The sequence below is a fragment of the Homo sapiens genome, chromosome 18, assembly GCF_000001405.40.
Source record: "Homo sapiens chromosome 18, GRCh38.p14 Primary Assembly".
Classification (NCBI taxonomy): Eukaryota; Metazoa; Chordata; class Mammalia; order Primates; family Hominidae; genus Homo; species Homo sapiens.
In genome coordinates, this window is record NC_000018.10 from 11772532 (window position 1) to 11794123 (window position 21592).

At 42.6% G+C, this 21592-nt stretch overlaps 1 protein-coding gene across 5 annotated transcripts in view, besides 1 other annotated feature; it reads left to right on the top strand.

Annotated features, from left to right (window-relative positions):
• Positions 1 to 21592, top strand: part of GNAL (G protein subunit alpha L) — a 196422-nt gene that overhangs the window by 83268 nt on the left and 91562 nt on the right. The gene's annotated exons all lie outside the window — the stretch shown is intronic.
• Positions 2623 to 3122: an enhancer, noted in NCBI's record as "H3K27ac hESC enhancer chr18:11775153-11775652 (GRCh37/hg19 assembly coordinates)". NCBI's record gives its function as "activates a minimal SCP1, AML or CMV promoter by ChIP-STARR-seq in naive H9 embryonic stem cells {active_cell/tissue: H9 hESC(naive)}" and the evidence as "EXISTENCE:reporter gene assay evidence [ECO:0000049][PMID:30033119]".

Below are 21592 nucleotides of genomic sequence, written 5' to 3' on the forward strand. Positions count from 1 at the left end.
GGTGGCTTTGCCTCTAATCTTAGCATTTCAGCTGGAAGCGCACTTAGGTGTGTCTGATCCAAGACTTCCTCTACAGATGAGCAGGGCATTAGCGCAACTCTCTACGAGACTTGTCCAGGGTCATCCAGATGTGCTGACCTGGAGGCAAAGCCAGGACTAGAACCGAGTCTCCCGATTCCTCATCCAGTTCTCTTCTTGTCGCTTCCATTCATGCAGGGTGCGGGTCTGCATTTATACAGCGGAGTTTCATTATCTATTAGGTTGAACTATTAAAAATTGCCAATATTTGGCCAATTTTGAGCTCTGATATGGCAGTTTCTTACGGTTCAACCCGTTAGATTAAATGTCACCTGTCAGTCTCTCATTACAGTCCCTTACATCCCTGTCCTGCGAAGACAGCATTGCCATCGAGTGGTAGGTATCCTCCCTGCGGACAGAGGCCCCGTCACAGTGGGCCCAGCCCTGCCCTTCTATGCTACAGGCTCAGGTCTGCACCTGCCTTTGTGCTTCACTCTCAGCAGTGACATCTGCTGCATCCCTCACTTGCCACCATCATCTCTACTGGGAGCCTTCCCTGACCTCTGAGATGAGAGGCAGCCAGTTCTCCCAAAGACACACAGCCCCTGGGTTGTCTGGCACCAAGGTGTCCCCTTACCAGGGCTTGCACGTCTCATGTCCACTGCCCACCCATAGTTACCCATTTTTTGTGGCTAAGCACATAACATGCTCACTTACCTACAATTGCAACAACTAGAAGTTAGAGCAGTCTGTTTAAAAGGCTTTGTGTAAATCACCCTGAAAGATTCCTGGTATGTGTTGGAGCAGGAGATAAACGGGATGACACACTACATAACCAGTCTCTGAAATGGTCCCCACGGTAGGCTTGATATTGTTTCTTAAGGCTCTTTTTTGAAAAGAGAGGAAACAAAATAGTACCAAAAATCTCATAATAGGCCAGATGCAGTGGCTCATCCCTTTAATCCCAGCACTTGGGGAGTCCGAGGTTGGAGGAACGCTTGAGTGCAGGAGTTCAAGACCAGACCAGCCTGGGCAAAATTATGAGACCCCATCTCTACAAAAAATCTTGTATAAAAATAAAAAAAATAGCCGGGCATGGTGTTGTATGCCTGTGGTCCCAGCTTTTCGGGAGGCCAAGGCAGGAGGATCACCTGAGCCCAGGCAGTCAAGACTGTAATGACCTATGATTGCAGCACTGTGCTCTAGCCTGATGACAGAGGAAGACCTTGTCTCAAAAGAAAAATCTCACAATAGTTTTACGCATATGATTATATAAAAACAATCGCATCTGAGTAATTTCGGTGACTAGAGTAAAAGTTCCTTAACATTATGGTTAAGAGTGCAGACTTTGCAATTGGTCTCACCTCTGCCTCTTCCTGTCTATGTAACCTTGGTTGAGTTAATTAGTATCTCTATGCTCAGTTTCCTCATCTGTAAAATGGGGATAATAATAATAATGCCTAGCACATGAAGCTTTTTGGGGGAATTAAATACAATAATACATCTGAAGTGCTGGGCCCTGTGCCTGACACACCTTAAACATTCAGTAAATGTGAGATGTCATCCTGGTCACCCTTCACCATGCGTAATGTTATGTGTGTGTGCTGCCTTTTCAGACGTTGCCGAGTGCTGAAGCCACGCACGGGGCCCAGTTTGACTCGGCACGTCTTGGTGTGGCCGAAGAACAAGCCTGGCTCTGAATTAAGAGTCAGGCTGTGGTGTTTTCAGGGAACTTTCTCTGCCTTCTGTCAGTTTTCAAGGCTTGGCATTGCATGGGAAGAGTCAACAAATACTATATTCTGCAGAAAGTATTGTGGTCTGAAATAGTGTAGACTAAAATATAAAGAAAAACCAAATTGGGATTTTAAAATGCATGAGCGCCCATCTAAAAGAGCCACCTACGCCTTGGTTTTCCTCTTTTTTGGTGAAGTTGATAAATTGGCTTGATACCAATGAAAATGGCGACCACTGCTTGAACAGCACTTCATGCCAAGAACTGCCCTAAGCTGTATAACTGCAGCAATCTTATGGGTGGAGAATGGTGGCTCATTTCATATGTGAGAAAACAGAAGCCCAGAGAACATAATTGACTTGCCCCGAGTCATAGAGCTGGGTAGAGAATGGTTCAGAATTTGAGCCCAGGCAGCCTGACCCCAGAGCCTGTCCCCCTGTGTACTGTGAGGTGACCTTTCTGGGTTTAAGAATCACGGGTCCAGGTTATACACTGTATCAGCCTTGTTGCAGCTACAAGCTTGGTGTGGTCACTTCACCATCCCTCATTTTGATTTTTGTTTGCAGAGTTTAGGTCGATAGACATTGCGGGTATATTTCTAAGTCTTATTGAGGAAATAATCAGTCCATGAGTGCCTGTAGCTCACTACATGAGCCATCTATCTGGAGATGGGCAGGGCTCACACAGCACAGGCCATCTTTCAGTTCTGCACCTGATGGACAGCACCTCTTCCTGCGGCAGAGCCTGAGTGGCCATCGCTCGGCTCAGCCCAGTGCGAGGCAGAGAGTCCTGCTGAATCTCCCCTTGACTAATGGCTTCTTTCTAATTCCTGATTTACTGAAGACAGCCTTTCTGTCTTGAAGGAATTACTCTGTGGCATTTCCCAGTCTTAGCAAGTGGTTCTGGGGGGCCCTGATGAAAGCACTGTGTTCTGGCGAACTGAGAACCAACTGTGGACCCTTGCTTTGTTTGAGGGCCAGGGGTGGCCAGGAGGGTTTCTCTGCAGAGTCCACACCTCACCCATATGCACACACTGGGAGGAAATATTTTTCAACCATTGGTTTAACCATTGAATAGTTAGCTTTGTAGTACTTACTCCTCTGAGATTTTACGCAGATGATCTCACTTAATCCACACACATGCACGCCCCCGTGTAGTAGCCACCATGGCGGTCCCCTGACGGGGTAGATACGTGGCCCGTGTCACACAGCATGTGCAGCAGGGCTGGGACTTGGCGCCAGGGCCTACACTCTGAGCCACAATGTCTAAGCCCTACCTCACCCAAAAAGATTCCTCTAAGTCTGTGTCAGATTAGAAATGAAGAGGGGACAAAGAGAAGTACCACGGACAGCAAGAAAAGAGGAAGATGCACATCAGAACTCATAAAGCAAGTCCCTCAAGAGGCATTCTGTGTGGGGGCAAATTCCCAGGGGTTCCCGGTGTCTACAACACAAATACAGTGACTGACGCAAGATCCTATGTCCTCAAGGAGAGAGAGGAGGTGAAATTCCAGTGTTTTCATTTCGTAAGAAGGCAGAGATGTATGGAATGCTTCAGGAAGATTTCCATTCAAGAGTTTATGTGGGAAAAAAGTTTTATTGCTGAAAGAATGATGTCCCTAAGTATCCAGACATTTCTGATTTGGATGGCTAGGCTCGCCAGAATGTCATTAACTGGGATGTTTGCTCACCTAGCGTTTAACTGTCATAGTTCAAGCCTAGAGAAAAGGTGTCTCCGGATGGGAGTGATTTATAATTCGCCCCTCCATTGTCATCCATGGTTGCCCAACTGATAGCTAAAAAATCAACAGCATCCGCCTCCAGAGCGCCTCTTTGCTCAATATGACCTTGCGAGTTTCCAGTGCAAATCTGACTCTGCTGGCTTCTATGCCACTTTCTCTTTTTTAATTCAGTTGCCCATGCTATTCTTTGGGTTTCTCTAGCCACTTTGGCTCTGACGATACAAAATGTCTTTGTAGATAACAACAAGATTTCAACTTGCTTATTAGAAAAAAGAGTTACATACTCTTCAGAAGTTTTTTTAATATATAAAGAATATGTTAACAAAAAGAGGGTTCACACTTGTAAGAGCGTCACACTCTGTGGTGTGTAGAATAAGAAATAACTTCCATAATAAGAATTTATGCCAGGCAAAGTGGCTTATGCCTGTAATCCCAGCATTTTGGGAAGCCAAGGTGAGAGGATTGCTTAAGCCCAGCAGTTCAAGACCATCCCAGGCAACATAGCAAGACCCCATCTCTACAAAAAAATTTTAAAATTAACTACCCATGCTGGTGCACACCTGGAGTCCCAGCTACCTGGGAGGCTGAGGTGGGAGGATTGCTTGAGCCCAGGAGTTTGAGGCTGCAGTGAGCCGTGATTGCACCATTGCACTCCAGCCTGGGCAACAGAGCCAGATCCTGCCTCAAAAAAAAAAAAAAAAAAAAAAGAATTTACACCTTGCAAATGCAACAGTCTTCTCTTCATCCTTGTACTTTGTCAAAAACTTTAAAATTGTGTTTTTGGAAACATGCTTCTCTTCACGACTAAGACTTGTTACTGGATTGTGTGCTGCGGGTCCCTTTCCAACTGACAAGCTTCTCTACCCTTCGAGCTGATAGTCATTTGTGCTTTCCAAGAGGTCATCCCAAGAATGCAACGAAAAAAATCAATACATCATAAAAGCATGAAGGTTGTAGTATCAATGTAAAAGCCATTTTAACTTTCCTCAACATCAGAATTGGAAGGACAAATACATTTCTTTCCACTTTTCTATCCCTCGGTCCTCTTTAAAAAAATTAATATATGATATGTATGAATAAATGCAGAGACTGTTAGTGTGATTTTGTAGATGGTGGCAGAGAGATGGGAGATGGTGGGCTTTGGCCAAGTTTTCAGCACATCATTGGTAGAACCAAGACTGGAAGCTACATCTCTTTCTTCCAGGACCGGTATCATTACTGCTCATGTGTCAGACGACACTGAATTTGGTGAGAATTTCTCACTTCTAAGGGATAATGAACCATACAAAAAAATCACAGTCAGCTCCCTGTGTTACTCTAGCTGACCTGCTTTAGGAACTCTGCCAGTGCTGGATCTGCACTCTCTTTGAAGGCCTCCTAACAGGTATTCAGATGACTCGTTAAGCTTTAGAGTGCTGTGTGTCCAGAATACAGCAATACATGCTACTTGACATGAGAATATAATTCAAGGCATGTAAACAGAGATACATTGATCTTCTAAGCAATATCTTCATTTGAGCAGGACAGTTGGCATGTTGATGAAAAGAGGCTTCAAATCTTAACAGTTACAAATAACTTTTCCTTTTGCCTGTAATGTAATTAGCACTCTTGAAGTATTTTGCTGGATGCCTTTCTTCATGCTCTTCTTAGCAAGTTGTTTAGTCAAAATCAAGTAGGTAAACTAGATGGGTATATACATATGTTAAAAGTTGTTTGGAATTTCAACCTACCCGGAAGAGCAGACCCTCGCCTAGCACTCGTTACATCCTAAGAGCTGGAGACATACGAGCTCCTGGGATCTTCATGACACCCCCATCAGGAGGAGACTACCAGCATCCCTGTCTTACAGACTAGAAAAAGGCAGTGCAGAGGTGAAGGTCACACAACTAGTCAGTGATGGGTTGAGGTTTGGAGTCCCAGAGTCTGGTTCCAGAGTCTATGCCCTTCGCCCCTCACTGGGCTGCCTCTGGGTACAGAATCAGCACCTCCCCACCAGCTTGTGTTGTGCCTGAGATTCCATGGCATCACTCGCTTTCCCCTGCAAGTTACCATGTCGCCTCCAGACATGTGCTCTTCGGAGAGGGACTCTCATACTTACCCATACATATGTATGGTGAATAGTGACTGTTGAGGAAGGGAGGGAGAGCTGTTGTTCGATTTCCTGCCTTAAGAGTTGAAAAGTTTTTCATTTGACCACTAGTAGTTTTCACCCTCAGAACAGACAACCATAGTTGAAGATCAGAGAAGGGTTAAATCCTCAGGAACATCTGAACTATGACCCACCCATTCATGGTTTTATAGGTAAGGTTACTTGTGTGCTAGGTTAAGTCCCATTTACTCCTGCTATTTTTAGTTATTTCTTCAAAAATGGTGTCAGCTGCAGGCTGAGCGAGCATCCCCTAGGTCCCTATTCAAGTTTCCAGAGCCTGGAGTAACCTCTGTAAAGGCCGCATGATGTTACAGAGAAACACCACAAAAACAGTCTTAGCTTCTCCTCCTCTCACAGGTATTAGTGACGAAACCTTGGGAAATGTGACTCAGTATCTGGAGCTTTAGTTGCATCCTCTTGTATAAATGAAAGCTAGGCAAGGTGATCTCTGAAGGCCCATGCAGGCTCTGAGAACCAACAGAATTATGACAAAGGTGTTATGGGGTCAGTGTGGTGGGTGCATAGAAAACAAAAATCCCCTTTCTTAAGAACCCATTTTTATCAGTTCCCATCATGGATTGGGAGATACATTCCAGGAAGAATTTTATAGATAGTAACCTTATCTATAAAACCATGAGTGGGTCATGGTTCAGATGTTCCAGAGAATTTAACCCTTCTCTGATCTTCAGCAATGGTTGTCTGTTTCAAGGGTGAAAATTACTAGTGGTCAAATGAAAAACGTTTCAACTCTGAAGACAGGAAAACAAACAACTGTTCTCCCACCCTGCTTCAACAGTCACTGTTCAGATACATTTCAAGAAGAATGTATCTCCCAATCCATGATGGGAACTGATAAAAATAGGTTCTTGAGAAAGGGGATTGTGGAAACTGTGAAAAGAGCCAGAGACAGCACGTAGAGGTGAGGAAGGGGCAACTCTTCCTGGCCCAGCAACAGTGGCATTCATAGAGTGGAGAAAAATACACTGCAGTGTGAAGAATGGGCCTCGTGCTACTGCGAAATGGAAAGCAGGAGACTGCAAGGGGTAGTTAGCATGGAAGCAGCATTCTCGTATACCAAATCTATACCTTGCTGATAGTTTGTCATTGCACCCAGAATGTCCATTATTAGATTTCTTCCCACCAGTGGCAAATAGGCATTATCTGTGCTACTAACTGCACATTACATATATGTGGTAATGCAGATTGTGAAGGCAGGATGGAATAGCAGTCATTTGATGGCCTGTATTGAGACTGATGGATAGACTTTCTTACAGACAAGAAGAACCTGCTGACTAAAGCTTGTGTGGCGGGGGTTAAACTTCCTGGAGCAGCCTGAAAAGGAGAATTATCTGGAATAATGGGGTGTCCTTTCAGTTCACTCTGACCTAGCTCCAAGATAAGCTTGACCATCCTACAAACAATCAGATCTAATAGTCCCTCAGTTCTTTGGGGAGTGAAAATGCGGGTCAATGGGAATGGAAAGATGGGAGTTATTGGCTCATGCACTCATTCAAGTAGAATTTCCTGAACACCTCCCCTAGGCTGGGGGTAGTCTGGAAACTGGGGGATCACAGTGAACAAGATGCAGTCCCTGACCTGAAGAACACAATTTATCCACCAAACTTTTGCTGAGAGTCCATCATTTTCACTTGAATACTCTTGCAGTTTTATTCATTTCCTTGCCTCATACTACAAAAATTTAATTGTGCAGTCATTAACAAAAATTAGGATGGAAAATATCAACCTGGGGTTGTTTTTTCCACTCATATGGAGAAGGCTTCTTCAGCTTACTGAGCCAGTAAAAGATGTCTGTCATCATTTGCTGTTGATTGTGGCATATATACCATTGCAACATGCATCATTAGCGCAGTTAGTACCTTGTTACAGCTTTTGGCTTTATATTCTTACTGTGTCTTAGGGTCTCAGATGGTTTGCGTTACATTTCTCAGATGTAATACAAGTATATCTCTGTGACAAGTTTCTATTTTTAATTTTTTTAACCTCTTTTTATGTGCAGTTACCTAAAATTATTCTGTAGGGACTTGACTCCAATCCCTGAAGTAGAGGCATTTTTGCATAGTCACGTTCCTGCTGTCTTGTCCAGGGACTTTTCCTGTGTGCTGTGTTTATATATTTGATTCCTAACACGTAAGACCTTTTTCGGAGCAAATATCCAAGTTTGTTTTTATTATGGCTCTTATATTTAAAAAAAAAAAGATAATTTTTTGGTCAAATGTTAAGACATGCCAACTCTCGGTTTTAAATATTTTAAGGTCTTCAAAAAATGAATGTTTACAGTTTTGTTGCCAGAACCTCTCTGGCTCTTTAAAATAAAAATATTTCAGCTGTAAATTGGAAGATAAGTCCTCTGTCCAAGCAGTTTTTCAAACCTGTTCCAGTCAGCTCCAGTAAAGTGTGGTACAATGGACTGAACCCAAAATGAAAAAGACTGGAGTCCATTCTCAACCAGACACAGTCTTAGCCAATCTGCCTTTGGGTTTTCACGTCTGTAAAATGATTATATTAATACCAAACTCATGGAGTTACACTGAGGAATGAATTAGATCACAGGCATGAAAAAGCGCGGTAAGGTGAATAACTCAGTAAATGTGAATTATTATTGTTATTACTGTTGACCAAGTTCAAATACTAGAACCAGAAAAGGACTTGAATTACAATGAAAATTAGCCAGAAACACAGAAGACTTTGACTTACACATTTCTGATCACTCCAACCCTAGGAGTCCATTCGTAGGCAAGACTTAAGTCACACTGAAGTATAAATGACTGATAACAGGCTACTAATCTGTTACTCTATCAAATGCCTTTGCATTTAACTGACTGAGAGCCTTGACTACAGGATTGAAATTCTGCAAGATAAATTTTAAATATCAACCAGTGAATGATGATAGTGCTGACCAGAACTACCAGTGTTTCTTACGGCTATTTCAAATTAAGACTTTAAATATAGGGAAAATTTGGTTGTTTTAAATCTACATTTACACTTACAGGCATTCTTTTCAACATGCATTATCTGTGGTAACTGCAAATAAAGCATTCCCCAATTCGTAAATAAAAATTGGACTTAGAAACACCTAACCATTAAACTACAGCTCTGAACAACTCTTAAATTTCCTTTGTATTACCCAAACCAGAAAGCCCAACCTTGGATTGAGAGAGCCTTAATATACACCTTTGAAAATATAGAATTTCTGTATCTTATAATAGATATGCACATTTAATGTGATAGCATTTCTCCTCCCATACACCCCCACAGCCTCAAAAATCTATTATTAAACACTGCTACATCAAGAATAGAGAAAAAGCAGCATTTTGTAGAATTAAACATCATATTGCTTCCAAAAAAGAAAAGAGCAGTTGTAGACATTTCCTTAGTTAATTGCATAAATCTTTAAAAACATCATTTTATATAAGGAACAAATTAACAAATTACTGAGCTCTTTGAAGATAAACTTTGTGAGAATTATAAGCTACTTTGTGCATTTAATCATTTTATATACTGAGGAGCTGTATTTGATAAGTAATATGGAAAGGAAATTCTGAATAGTATACAACTGAACTGCCAAGCTACTGGATCTCTGTTTAATCCTCTTTTGAGGAAAACTTAGGAGATGCTATTGCCAAAAGGGGAGGGGTCACACTGTATTTTAAAATCAAATTTGTTTAAATAAACAAAATAGGTGTTATAATTAGCAATATATAACAGGAAACATGTTCAAGAATATTCATAGTGGCACTGTTTATAACAAGAAACTGGAAACAACCCAAATGGCCACTAACAAGACAATGGATACATAATATGTGGAATATCCACACAATAAAATATTCATCAGTGAAAAGGTTGGCCAGGCGCAGTGGCTCATGCCTGTAATCCTAGCAATTTGGGAAGTCGACATGGGCGGATCACTTGAGGCCAGGAGTTCAAGACCAGCCTGGCCAACACGGTAAAACCCTGTCTCTACTAAAAATACAAAAATTAGCTGGGCGTAGTGGCAGGTGCATGTAATCCCAGCTGCTTGGGAGGCTGAGGCAGGAGAATCACTTGATCCAGGGAGGCGGAGCTTGCAGTGAGCCAAGATGGCACCATTGCACTCCAGCCTGGGTGACAGAGCTAGACTCCGTCTCAAAAGAAAAAAAGAAAAAGAAAAAGAATGAATTACAGCCACATGCAATGACATGGATGGATCTCAGTATCATAATGTTGAATGAAGAACTCAAGTGTTAAAAGATTACATATAATCCTCTTTTGTTTGTAAGGTTCAAAAAACAAGCATAACTAAGTACTATATTGTTTAAGCATGCATGTATTTGTGATAAAAATTTTTGAAAGGAGACAGAATGATAGTCGTAACATTCAGGATAGTAGGAGAGAAGGCAAGGGTGGAAGAGAGATGGGGTATGGAAGAGATCATAGTAAAATATTGGTTATTGATCCTGTCTTATTAAGGAGATGGGAGGGGCTCATGGGTGTTCCTTTTATGATTAAACAAAAAAATAAGAAAATGAAAAAGGGCCATGTAAGAGTCAATGATGACTGTGTGTCATTAACCAGATCTATTCACCTGTGGTCCACATTAAAAAGAAAATTCGTTTTCTAGTTTAGAAACATGTATCTTTCTTCGTGCTGTGTTGTCTTTTAAAGGAAAAATGTACATAGATGCTACTGAAAGGGCTATGTGAGCATAATGCATGATAAAGAGAATCATAAATCTTAAGAATTTTGAGATTTGTATTTATTATGATAGGTGACAATGCTTCAAGATTTGCAGCCACAAAGTCACTGAGGTTATATCCCCATAAGCCAGACTCTGACTACGCAAAAGACATGGTAGAATATCAACCAACATTTGTAAAAGTAACTAACTCTGTCATTCTGTAAATTTCACATCGCATTCTGGCAGTTGTTCTTTTGTTAATTAGACTAATTCCAGAGGTGGGTCATTCCCATTACTTTTTCGTTCTGTATATATTCCAGGTTTAATTTGTTGACCACCTCACATTCAACAGAAGTGAGTGTGAAACAAGGCTGCTCCCTAGAACCAGGCCACCTGCTTTTAGAGCCCAGCTCCCCTCTTCCAAGAGGCAGTGCCTCTGTGTGCGTCAGCTTGTTCCTTTCTCAAATGGGCATGATAATGGTACTTACCTCAGAGTTGCTGTGAGGGTTAAACAAGTTAATATATTTAATACATAAAAGACTAGGCTCAAAGTTTCAACATCATAAATACTCTATATTAGCTAATCGGAAGAAAAAAATTATTAAATCAGACTTTTATATTGTGCCTGCAAAGCCAAGAAACTCTACTAATCTCACCGTGATGGCATCACTACACTTAACTGTGGTGAGACTTCTTTTAATGAATACATCCTCACTCCAGCACTGACCAAACATAGAAAATAGAAATAAAATGTGAGCCACCAATGCAATCCACCTATGTAATTTTGCATTTTCTAGCAGCCACATTTTTAAAAAGTAAAAAGAAATCAGCAAAGCTTAATAATATATTTTAACGCTATACAAATATCCAAAAATATTATTTCAGCATGTAGTGTTTAGAAATTTCCAATTTCTATGCTCTTTTTTTCATTAAAAATGTCTTCAAAATCTAGTGTGTATTTGGCATGTCTGGCACATCTCAGTTTGAGCAAGCCGCATTTCAAGCTCAGTGGCCACCTGCTGTTAGTGGCTACTGCAGAGAATATGGAGAAAGGAAATAATGACTTCTTCCTTCCCAGCATCAGTGTTAGTGGGGAGGAAAGGCACAGGCCAGGTGAGAAGCTCCATCTGTGCATGTTCATTGTCCTGTGAGGCAGGAGGGTAGCCAGCTACTCCAGGCCCCCTGGTACCTGCTCTCAGGGTGAGTGTCCCTCATGTCCACGTGGCCCAGCAAGCCCATGCAGGGCAGAGAGTAGCGTTGCCTGAGTACCGGACACTGCCTGGTGCTTAGCAGCTATGCTTCCTCATGGTGGGGACCAGCGTACTTGTCTTTGGTCTCCCAGTGCTGACAAGAGCCTGTTGCTCTTCTGGAGACTTCACTGCATTGTGTTTCTGTCTTCAGGTCAGCAGGCGAGGTGTCCGCCCTAATGGGCCTTACCCCTAATCTGACTGCTTCTAAGTCTCCCTTGTCATCCACCATGGCCTCAGCATGGGGAATGAAACCAACCACGTGGCCACAGGTGTTGCGGCAGCCAACTGTGTTCTCTGTGTGTGCAGGAGATGGAATGGTGAGGCCTTACCTTGCCACACCTTCATGATGACACCCCTGCACTTACCAAAGCTGCCACAAGCCTAATGCTGTGCTTTTGAAGCCTATTCTTGATGCCTTTGCCCAAAAAGAGCCACATGATTATGTATTGCTTGAGCAGAAGCAGATTGTATAATTTTGTTCTTTTCATTTTATTTTCTGCATGAAATTTTTAGGGCATTTAGTAATTCACTGAAAACATACAAATTAGCATTTTATTTCTAAGTCAAGAAGTTGGCTGTGGTCTGTGTGTGTTTAAAAGGAATGTATTATGAATCTGAGTAAAAGAAATGGAGAAAGATTTTTTCGGCCTCAGTGGAATTGAAAAAAACCAAAAGCCAGTACCTGGTCTCTGAGCGTGGAAGAAACTGACTGTGCGTGCTCTGTTGGATTATGAGAAAGCTGCATGAGCCTGGCTGTCCGTATGTATGGGAGTCAGAAAAGTGGGAGGAAATATATGATTCATGGTGTACAAAGAATTGAGTTTAGAAAAGGGGAATAAACAAGAGGAATTACTCAGTCACTACTATTTAAAACTGAGAATCAGAAGACAATTAGCACAATGTTGTTGGAAGAAAGTTTCAGATAGTGTAACATTTTTAGTTTCTGCAAAGTCTGGAATTGCTGTGATTCATACTTTTTCCCAGTCCCACGCTCAGTTTTCGTCCCCTCTCAGCCATTGGAAATGTGCACCTGTCTTTCCCCTACCTCAATCCAGTCAAGTCTTTTAGATGGTTTTATATAAGATTTCATCCCAGTGGAATTTGGAAATTAGTCTAGAAAGCTGAAAATGAGAGGGTACCTGAAAGTTGGGATAAAGATGAGGTCATTGCTCCTGGATTCTGCACTCTTTCCCATGATATCATCCTTTAGGGAATCCCTGGAAATGTGGAATGGGTGTCCACAAGGCAGATGGAAGTATGGGATGCTCCGTGGTAAGCCTGTATGCCTCCAAGCCCCCAATAAGTAGAACAATGGGAAATGCAAATTGCAGAAATCTGGAACAAGGAGAAGAAAGGAGGACACTGGATGATGCTGGGATTTACCAATGCTGGGGTTCCAGGAAGACAGCTTCTCTGGCCCCCGCCCAGGCCTGGAGGCTGCAGGCCCCTGCCTCCTTAGAACCATGGTCCCTGGACAGCACTCCATCCAGCCTTTCAGAGTTTTGTTTTCTTCTCTTTAGCTTACAATTAATTATCTTAGGGAAAAGAAATCAGTGCCAGTGAATTGCCTTGCTTTTTTTTTCAATGAGTCTTTTCTAAATTGGGTTCAGGCCGGTGTATGAGAGACCAGAAGGAACCCTTCTGCCCAGAGACCCAGTCTGACGCCCCCTCTCCTGCGAACGTCAGCGATGGCCTCGGCCATGAATGGGTTAAGCAGCAGCTCCTCTGCTCAGCCCCGTGTTGAGCTGTTATTGAAGGTCTTTAAAGGCTTCCGCCCACCTTCCTCCCACTCCCCTGGCAAGTGAAAGACATTTGAATTCCTCTTGCAAGGCAGAAAATTATTAAAGTGAAAGAAAATGACTGTTCCCTGTTCTAAAAAGGAGAGAAAAGAAAAGTGGGGCTGCCCCTCCTTCATTATTTCTTACCTGAGAAGGAGATTATCAGAAACAGGGTGAAGCATTCTGACTCCCAGAAATCAGGAGAAGGGGAAGTTTATCCTGTCGGCCTTTTGTGTGCTTATTTCAGCTTATAATTCAGTGCCCTGGAATTCCGTGCACATTAGAATATGGAGGACCTGCTAACCCTGGAGGAGATAACCATGATTAATAGGGTTATATCCTCACAGGGCAGTATTACTCAAAGACCCCAAGTAACTAAATTATAGAGAAGAATATGAAAGAGGAGTAGAAACCCGGTTTATTTTTCCTGTGCCTTTGAGCACTACAACTTCCACTGAAAATCAATTCATTTTAGAGGGTCAGATCTGAATGAGAGATTTTAGTAATGGTTCTTTTACACGTGGCTGAAGAAGCGTGGTGGGATAGATCTTCATACGTTTTCTTTTTTTTTTTTTTTTTTTTTTTTTTTTTTGAGATGGAGTCTTGCTCTGTCGCCCAGGCTGGAGTGCAGTGGCGCTGTCTCAGCTCACTGCAAGCTCTGCCTCCTGGGTTTATGCCATTCTCCTGCCACAGCCTCCCAAGTAGCTGGGACTGCAGGCACCCACCACCACACCTGGCTAATTTTTTTTTTTTTTTTTAGTGGAGACGGGCTTTCACCACGTTAGCCAGGATGGTCTCCATCTCCTGACCTCGTGATCTGCCCACCTCGGCCTCCCAAAGTGCTGGGATTACAGACGTGAGCCACCGTGCCCGGCGATCTTCACACATTTTCATTTGAATCTTTTTATATTTTATAAACATCACTTCATAATTTCTCTGTTAATCCAGCTCACCTTTATACTTCCCAATCTAATCAAACTACTGATTCAAACTATGTCTGCTTTACCCCAGCCCTGTCCAGAGCATGGGTCTGGCCCTGGGAGGTGGAGGGTGAGTGAGCTAAGAGGGCTATTGGAAAGGTTTTTAAAATAATCTCTGGCTGGGCCTGTAATCCCAGCAGTTTGGGAGACTGAGGTAGGAGGATCGCTTGAGGCCAGGAGTTTGAGACCAGCCTGGGCAACAACACAGCGAGACCTCATTTCTACAATAATAATAATAATCTCTGTTCTAGGGCTTATGGTTTAATTAGGAGGATTAGACCAACAGTCATGAAAAGCTAAAGTCAAGAGATCATAGAATTTAATTAAATCTCAGTTTTAAAATGTCTCTACTTCCCCAGACAAATATAAAGAAAAGGAAAAGGAAAGCAAGAACCTGGCAATGGCAGAAGTCTGTTCTGTATCCACTTCAAGACAATGCATTTTACATCTCCTTAGGATGTATAAATATTAGAACTAAAGTCTCTGCCAATACATCACTTTTTTGGCAACAGCTATGGTGCTGGAAGTGACAATATGATCACCAGTGAGGTGGGCCGAAACAGTTCTCAGCATTTACAGTACTATCATAATTTGGTCATAATGACATGTTGCGGAACTCATATAAGATACAGATACAGAACATTTCAAGTGTTGTTTGGCAGCCATCATGTAATAAAAGTTAAACTGATAGCATGATTACCTGAGAGCTATTTTCATGTGTATTTAGGAAATATTTGGCCGGGCGCGGTGGCCCACGCCTGTGTAATCCTAGCACTTTGGGAGGCCGAGGTGGGCGGATCACGAGGTCAGGAGATCGAGACCATCCTGGCTAACACAGTGAAACCCCATCTCTACTAAAAATACAAAAAATTAGCCAGGCATGGTGGCGGGTGCCTGTAGTCCCAGCTACTCAGGAGGCTGAGGCAGGATAATGGCATGAACCCGAGAGGTGGAGCTTGCAGTGAGCCAAGATTGCACCACTGCACTCCAGCCTGGGAGACAGAGCCAGACTCCATCTCAAAAAAAAAAAAAAGGAAATATCTGCTTAATAGGATCATGGGCAGCCGGCACTGGTTTGGCCAATCCCAGAGAAAAGGAAAAAAGTGTGTCTTAGCACCCAGTTTCATTGACATTGCCAACTTCCCATTTCCTTCTGCAAACTTCCCTTTTTTATTTCCTGCTGTCCCCAGTAAATTTATCCTTGACCATACCTGGAGCCATTAACCGTAATCGGGCCTTAGATATCTTACACACCCCTGAGAATTTCTCCTCAGCTGTGGAATAAACGTGTTATTCCCAAGTTGTGCTGTGCTTCAGAACCACCTGGGGAGCTTTCAAACAAGATCCCTAAGCCTGTCCTCAGAGATTTTGATTCAGGAATTCTTGGGTGAAGCCTTGAGGAATCTATTTTAATAGCTCCCCAAAGGCTTCTAAGGCACCAGGAGGTGTGGCAGTCACAACGCAACACCTAGTGTGGCTCTCAAGGCATAACCAGAGTTAAGAGGTGGTCAGAAACTGACAGCGAACTTGCAGCAATGCCCTTGTTCTGTGAGGAGTGGTTCCCCATGCAGATGGCCTCATTTATAAGTGTGCCCCCACCCCATTTTCTCTGTACTTACACTCCACAATCATGCCAAGAATCGTACTGTCCTATAGTCCTTTTTATGTTTACAATTCAGAACAAATCTTGATTCATTAAAACTTATTAACAGTTATTAAAAATATTGACAGTGTTGGCCGGGCATGGTGGCTCATGCCTGTAATACCAGCACTTTGGAAGACGGAGGCAGGCGGATCACCTGAGGTCAGGAGTTCGAGACCAGCCTGGTGGTCAGGCTGGTCAGAAGTTCAAGACCAACATGGTGAAACCCCGTCTCTACTAAAAATACTAAATTAGCTGGGTGTGGTGGCACACGCCTGTAATGCCAGCTACTAGGGAGGCTGAGGCAGGAGAATCGCTTGAATCTGGGAGGCAGAGGTTGCAGTGAGCAGAGATCACACCACTGCACTCCAGCCTAGGAGACAGAGCAAGACTCCGTCTCGAAAAAAAAAAAAAAAAAATATATATATATATATATATATACACATATATATCAAAAGTGTTTTTTCTTAAAAATAGAATGTGTAAGATAAGTTAAATGTAGAGTATTAGTTATAAAGAGGACTTGATACCACAAGTTCCATCTCTAGGCCTATCTCAGTTTCAGCACCTGCTCCCACCTCTAACTAGTCTTTCTCGATGCCACACAACCTGTTTTCTTGGGCCTCCTTCATTTCAGGTCACACCTCTGCCAACCCTGCCACAACACAGAGGAGCAGTTGAGGCCCTCAATCACTGTCCTAAGTAACAGGGCATTGCTCTTACTTGCCAAGACCTTAGCTAGCCTCAGGCAAAATTGTGGAGTCTGTTGAAAACATCCCTTTCCTATCACATGTTGCTGCCAGATACTCAGGTATTTAAATCTGGGTAAGCAATAAGTGATACAAGAAGTGTAAAGTGGTTTTGAAAATTCTAGCCCCAGCAACTGTCCTCTAACATTACGGACTGTGATGATGGATTCCCACGTAGTTGGCATTGATTGAGGATGATTTGCAAACCTACTTTAATTAAGCATTTTCTCACAACTTCTTAGCTCATTTGGGTAACTCCATGTGCATATAACTTAAGGTTATGGCACCATATGGTGGGGAAGACTATATATAGATAGGCAGATTCCCCACGGATCCAACAATCCAGTTATCATTGTATAGATTATAAGCATAAACAAAATGTACTTTAAGTGGATTGTTCTAATAAAGTACCATGTCTTCTTTTTCCTCCTTATATTTTATCATCACCTCTGTCTTAGCATTTGCTACCAGAATCTGGAGATGCTCTTAGGTGGACACAGAGTCTTACATGCCATTGATACATATACTGCTCATGTGGCTTGCAGAGGAAGGACGTGAAAAGCTTAGACCCAGAAGCTGGGAAAGGGCCTTGTTGTTAGTGTCAGTGTAATAAGATGCAGCTTCTAGCTCATTGATGCTGCTGTGTTGCAGAGGAAAAGCCTCAGATAAAAGGATTTTGTTTGAAGTAAAACATCACAAACCGGATTCCTTGTAAACACAGGAATAGTTGAAGAAGGTCAGACTCAGATCACTGATGATGCAAATGAGAAGAAAGTTCCAGGAAGTAAAGGCTTAAGCTTTCTAGAACGCTCCAGTGGCCCAGGAAGGGTGCTGTTGTTCTTAGAACAATGAGATGTCAAATGTATTCAAAGTAAAAATTAAAGTGGGAGAATGGTTTTAATAATTTGAAGTTTACCTCCTCAAGCCAGTTGTTGGATGAGGGGTTGAGAGCTATCTTTTGTGCAAGTGGGCAGGGGGTGTTCAGAGCCCTGCCCCTGGGGTCTCTGCACACCATTGTTGGGACAAAAGAAATTCTCCAGGGCGTCTGTCAGCTCCTCATGATTCCCCCAGCTTCCGACACTCTGAGGAAGAAATTCTCCAGGGCGTTTGTCAGCTCCTCACGATTCCCCCAGCTTCCAACACTCTGACATCAATGTGTCCTTGGGGATGTGTTGTTTACAATAATGTAACATTCACACTAAGATGGACTTCATTTTTAATACAGACTCATAAAGCATTTTTAACCACTTATTTTAATTCAGCAATTCTTAACTGCAAAGGAGGTCAGTGCCAAGGTGGAAATCAGTGTTAACATGTTTGATTTTTGCCTCTGAGGCCCCTTTGACACTTATGTAAAATTCTCTGGCTTCCAGCCTGGCTGATGGTTTTTCTTTTCTTTTCTTTTCTTTTTTTTTCTTTTTTTTTTTTTTTGAGACAGTCTTGCTCTGTTGCCCAGGCTGGAGTGCAGTGGCACGATCTCGTCTCACTGCAAGCTCTGCCTCCCGGGTTCACACCATTCTCCTGCCTCAGCCTCCTGAGTAGCTGGAACTACAGGTGCCCGCCACCACGCCCAGCTAATTTTTTTGTATATTTAGTAGAGACGGAGTTTCACCGTGTTAGCCAGGATGGTCTTGATCTCCTGACCTCGTAATCCGCCTGCCTCAGCTTCCCTAAGTTCTGGGATTACAGGCGTGAGCCACCGCGTCCAGCCAGCTGATGGTTTTTCAATCAAAACTATTCCAATACTTAATTTAAGAAAAACCAGAAACTACTATTTAGGATTTACAGAGCAAGATATCCAGATTTCAGGAATGAGAGGTGACTAATTCCCAGAGTTGTTTTCAAATTAAACTGTCACTTTAAAGCTGTGAAGGGAAGGCCAAACAATTTGGTTAAGCATGTCCTTTCGGCATGGTGGTGGCCATGGCTAAATGGTTTGTGTGGGTTCTTAAGCCATGGCTAGGATCCTAGTGAAGGTTTCCATGAAAGTAATGTTGAAACTCTGAAGGAAGCAACTAGCCACAGTTATTTTTAAATTTCCTGCCTGTTTGTTTCTTTGTTGCCAGCCACAGGAATGGGAACCGCTAGGTGTTTTTCCATAGCCATAGCAGAACAGGCTCCCCTGTTGAGCAGTGAAGACGCCTGGGTTAGGGGGTGAAACCAGAGAAGCCATAAGGGATGCTTTTTGCCTTCTAAACAGAAGGTTGATTATCAAGAGATCATGCTTGTTTGTTTGAAATAAATGAACTGATTTCTCCCCTGGGTGTTTCTCTTGGTAAAACATTTTAAAAGCTTTTAAAGTGGGGGAGGAACTACAACCAACTCCACACTATCTTAATAAGATACTAAGCTCAGATAGTAAACACACACAAAAAATTAAGCTACTGCATGTGATCTATTTAGGAAAGACTTTATATTAGAGAATAACAGAGTTAGCTTATAGGTGCAATCATCTAGACTGGTTAGCTGCTGTAGACAGATATCTATCAAGTTTTCTGCTTCATTGGGTTTCATTGCAAGGACTCGAAGTAGGACACAAAGGACTTCGGACTCAAGTAGCTTCCCATGTCTACCTCTGCAGTGATCCAGGTGTGCCGAGAACTCCCGAGGGTCTGCACCACATCCATAGTGCAGCACTGTCAGCCTCACCTCTCACAGGTGTCTCCCCTGGTACAGGTGTCTCCTGCACAGTTAAGCCAGTCTGTTAAAGACTGTTAATCATTTTGATTATGACTATTGTCATTTCCGATTTTAATTTCCTGCTAATTTTTTGAGTTCAGACCCACCTCTTTTGGAGACCTTTCCAACCTGTCCTGAAACTGAGCAACCTCTCCCTTTTTGGCCACTTCCTGTGGCTTTCCTAATTGGCACCATAGCTTTGGTCACGAAATTATATCCAGTACTTACTGCCTTGTATTGTTTCCTTCCTCCCTCCCTCCTTCCTTCCCTCCCTTCCTTCCTTCCGTCTTACCCTGTTTCCCAGGCTGGAGTGCAGTGGCGTGCAATCTCAGCTTACTGCAACTTCTACCTCCCGAGTTCAAGCAATTCTCATGCCTCAGCCTCCCGAGTAGCTGGGACTACAGGCGCACACCACCGCACCTGGCTAATTTTTGCATTTTTAGTAGAGATGGGGTTTCACCATGTTGGCCAGGCTGGTCCCAAACTCCTGACCTCAGGTGATCTGCCCGCCTTGGCCTCCCAAAGTGCTAGGATTACAGGCATAAGCCACTGCACCCAGCTTGTCTTGTATTGTTTTCTAATTACTTGGTATGTCTTAGCCATAGTCTCCCTACTGAAGTGTTGACTTCTTGAGAACAGGAGTATTGGCCATCTCGCCTTGTCCTAGACACATAATCTGCAAAATTACAAACTCTTTGAGGACAAGGGCACCTCTTTCTCATTCATTGCAGTATCCTAGCTCCTAGCATGGTGCCTAGCACAGAGTTAGAGCTCAATAAATATTTGTTGAATGATTGATCAATTGTTGGCACTGAGGGAATACTTGGGCATTGATTATAAGATTTGAAGGAGAGGGTAATTCTTGTCTTAAAGTGTCTTTGGCAAACTACCAACCTGGTGACATGGTGATGCAACTTCCATATGACAGAGGACACTACCAAATCCCTTAGTAACTTTAGGTATGTTTATATAGTTGGACTTGTTATATTATTGAATAGTGTCATTTTCCAATAAAAAGTTGTGGAAATTTGAGAAATAATCTAGATTGAACTAATTCTAAGAGACATATATAACTTTACTCCATATGCAAAAATTAAATCAAAGTAGATCAATCACCTAAATATAGGAGCTAAGACTATATGTAGGGGTAAATCTTCATGATCTTGGATTTGGCAGTGATTTCTTGGATATGACATCAAAAGCTTGAGCAACAAAGGAAAAAAATAGGTAAATTGGACTTCATCAAAATTTTAAAATTTGTGCATCAAAGGACATAAGAAAGCAAAAAGACAATCCACAGAATGAGATAAATATTTGTAAACTGTGTATCTGATAAGGGTCTAGTAACCAGAATATATAAAGAATTTTTGCTTGGGTGCAGTGGCTCATGCCTTTAATCTCAGCATTTTGGGAGGCTGAGGTGGGAGGATCTCTTGAGCCCAGGAGTTTGAGACCAGCCTTGACAACAATTGAGACTCCCATCTCTTACAAGACAATTTATTTTTTAATTATCCAGGCCTGGTGGCATGCACCTGTAGTTCCAGCTACTTGGGGGGCTGAGGCAGGAGGATCACTTGAGTCCACAAATTCAAGGCTGCAGTGAGCTATGATTGTGCCACCACATTGCAGCCTGAACAATAGAGCAAGATCCTGTCTCTAAAAAAATAAAAATCTACAACTCAACGACAAAAAGACAAATAATTTAAAAATGGACAAAGGGGCCAGGCGCAGTGGCTCACGCCTGTAATCCCAACACTTTGGGAGGCTGAGTCAGGCAGATCACAAGGTCAGGAGATCGAGACCATCCTGGCCAACATGGCGAAACTGTGCCTCTACTAAAAATAAAAAATTAGCTGGGCGTGGTGGCACGTGCCTGTGATCCCAGCTACTTGGGAGGCTGAGGCTGGAGCGGGAGTCAGAGGTTGCAGTGAGCCGAGATTGCACGCCACTGCACTCCAGCCTGGCGACAGTGAGACTCCATCTCGGGAAAAAAAAAAAAAAAAAAGGACAAAGGACTTGCTTAGCATTTATCCAGAGAATATATGCAAATGGCCAATAAGCACATGAAAAGATGTTCAACATCTGTTGTCATTAGGGCAACACAAATCAAAACCACAATGGGGTGCCACTTCACACCCACTAGAATTCTATAATTAACACACACACAGAAAATAACAAGTGTTGGAAAGGATGTCAAGA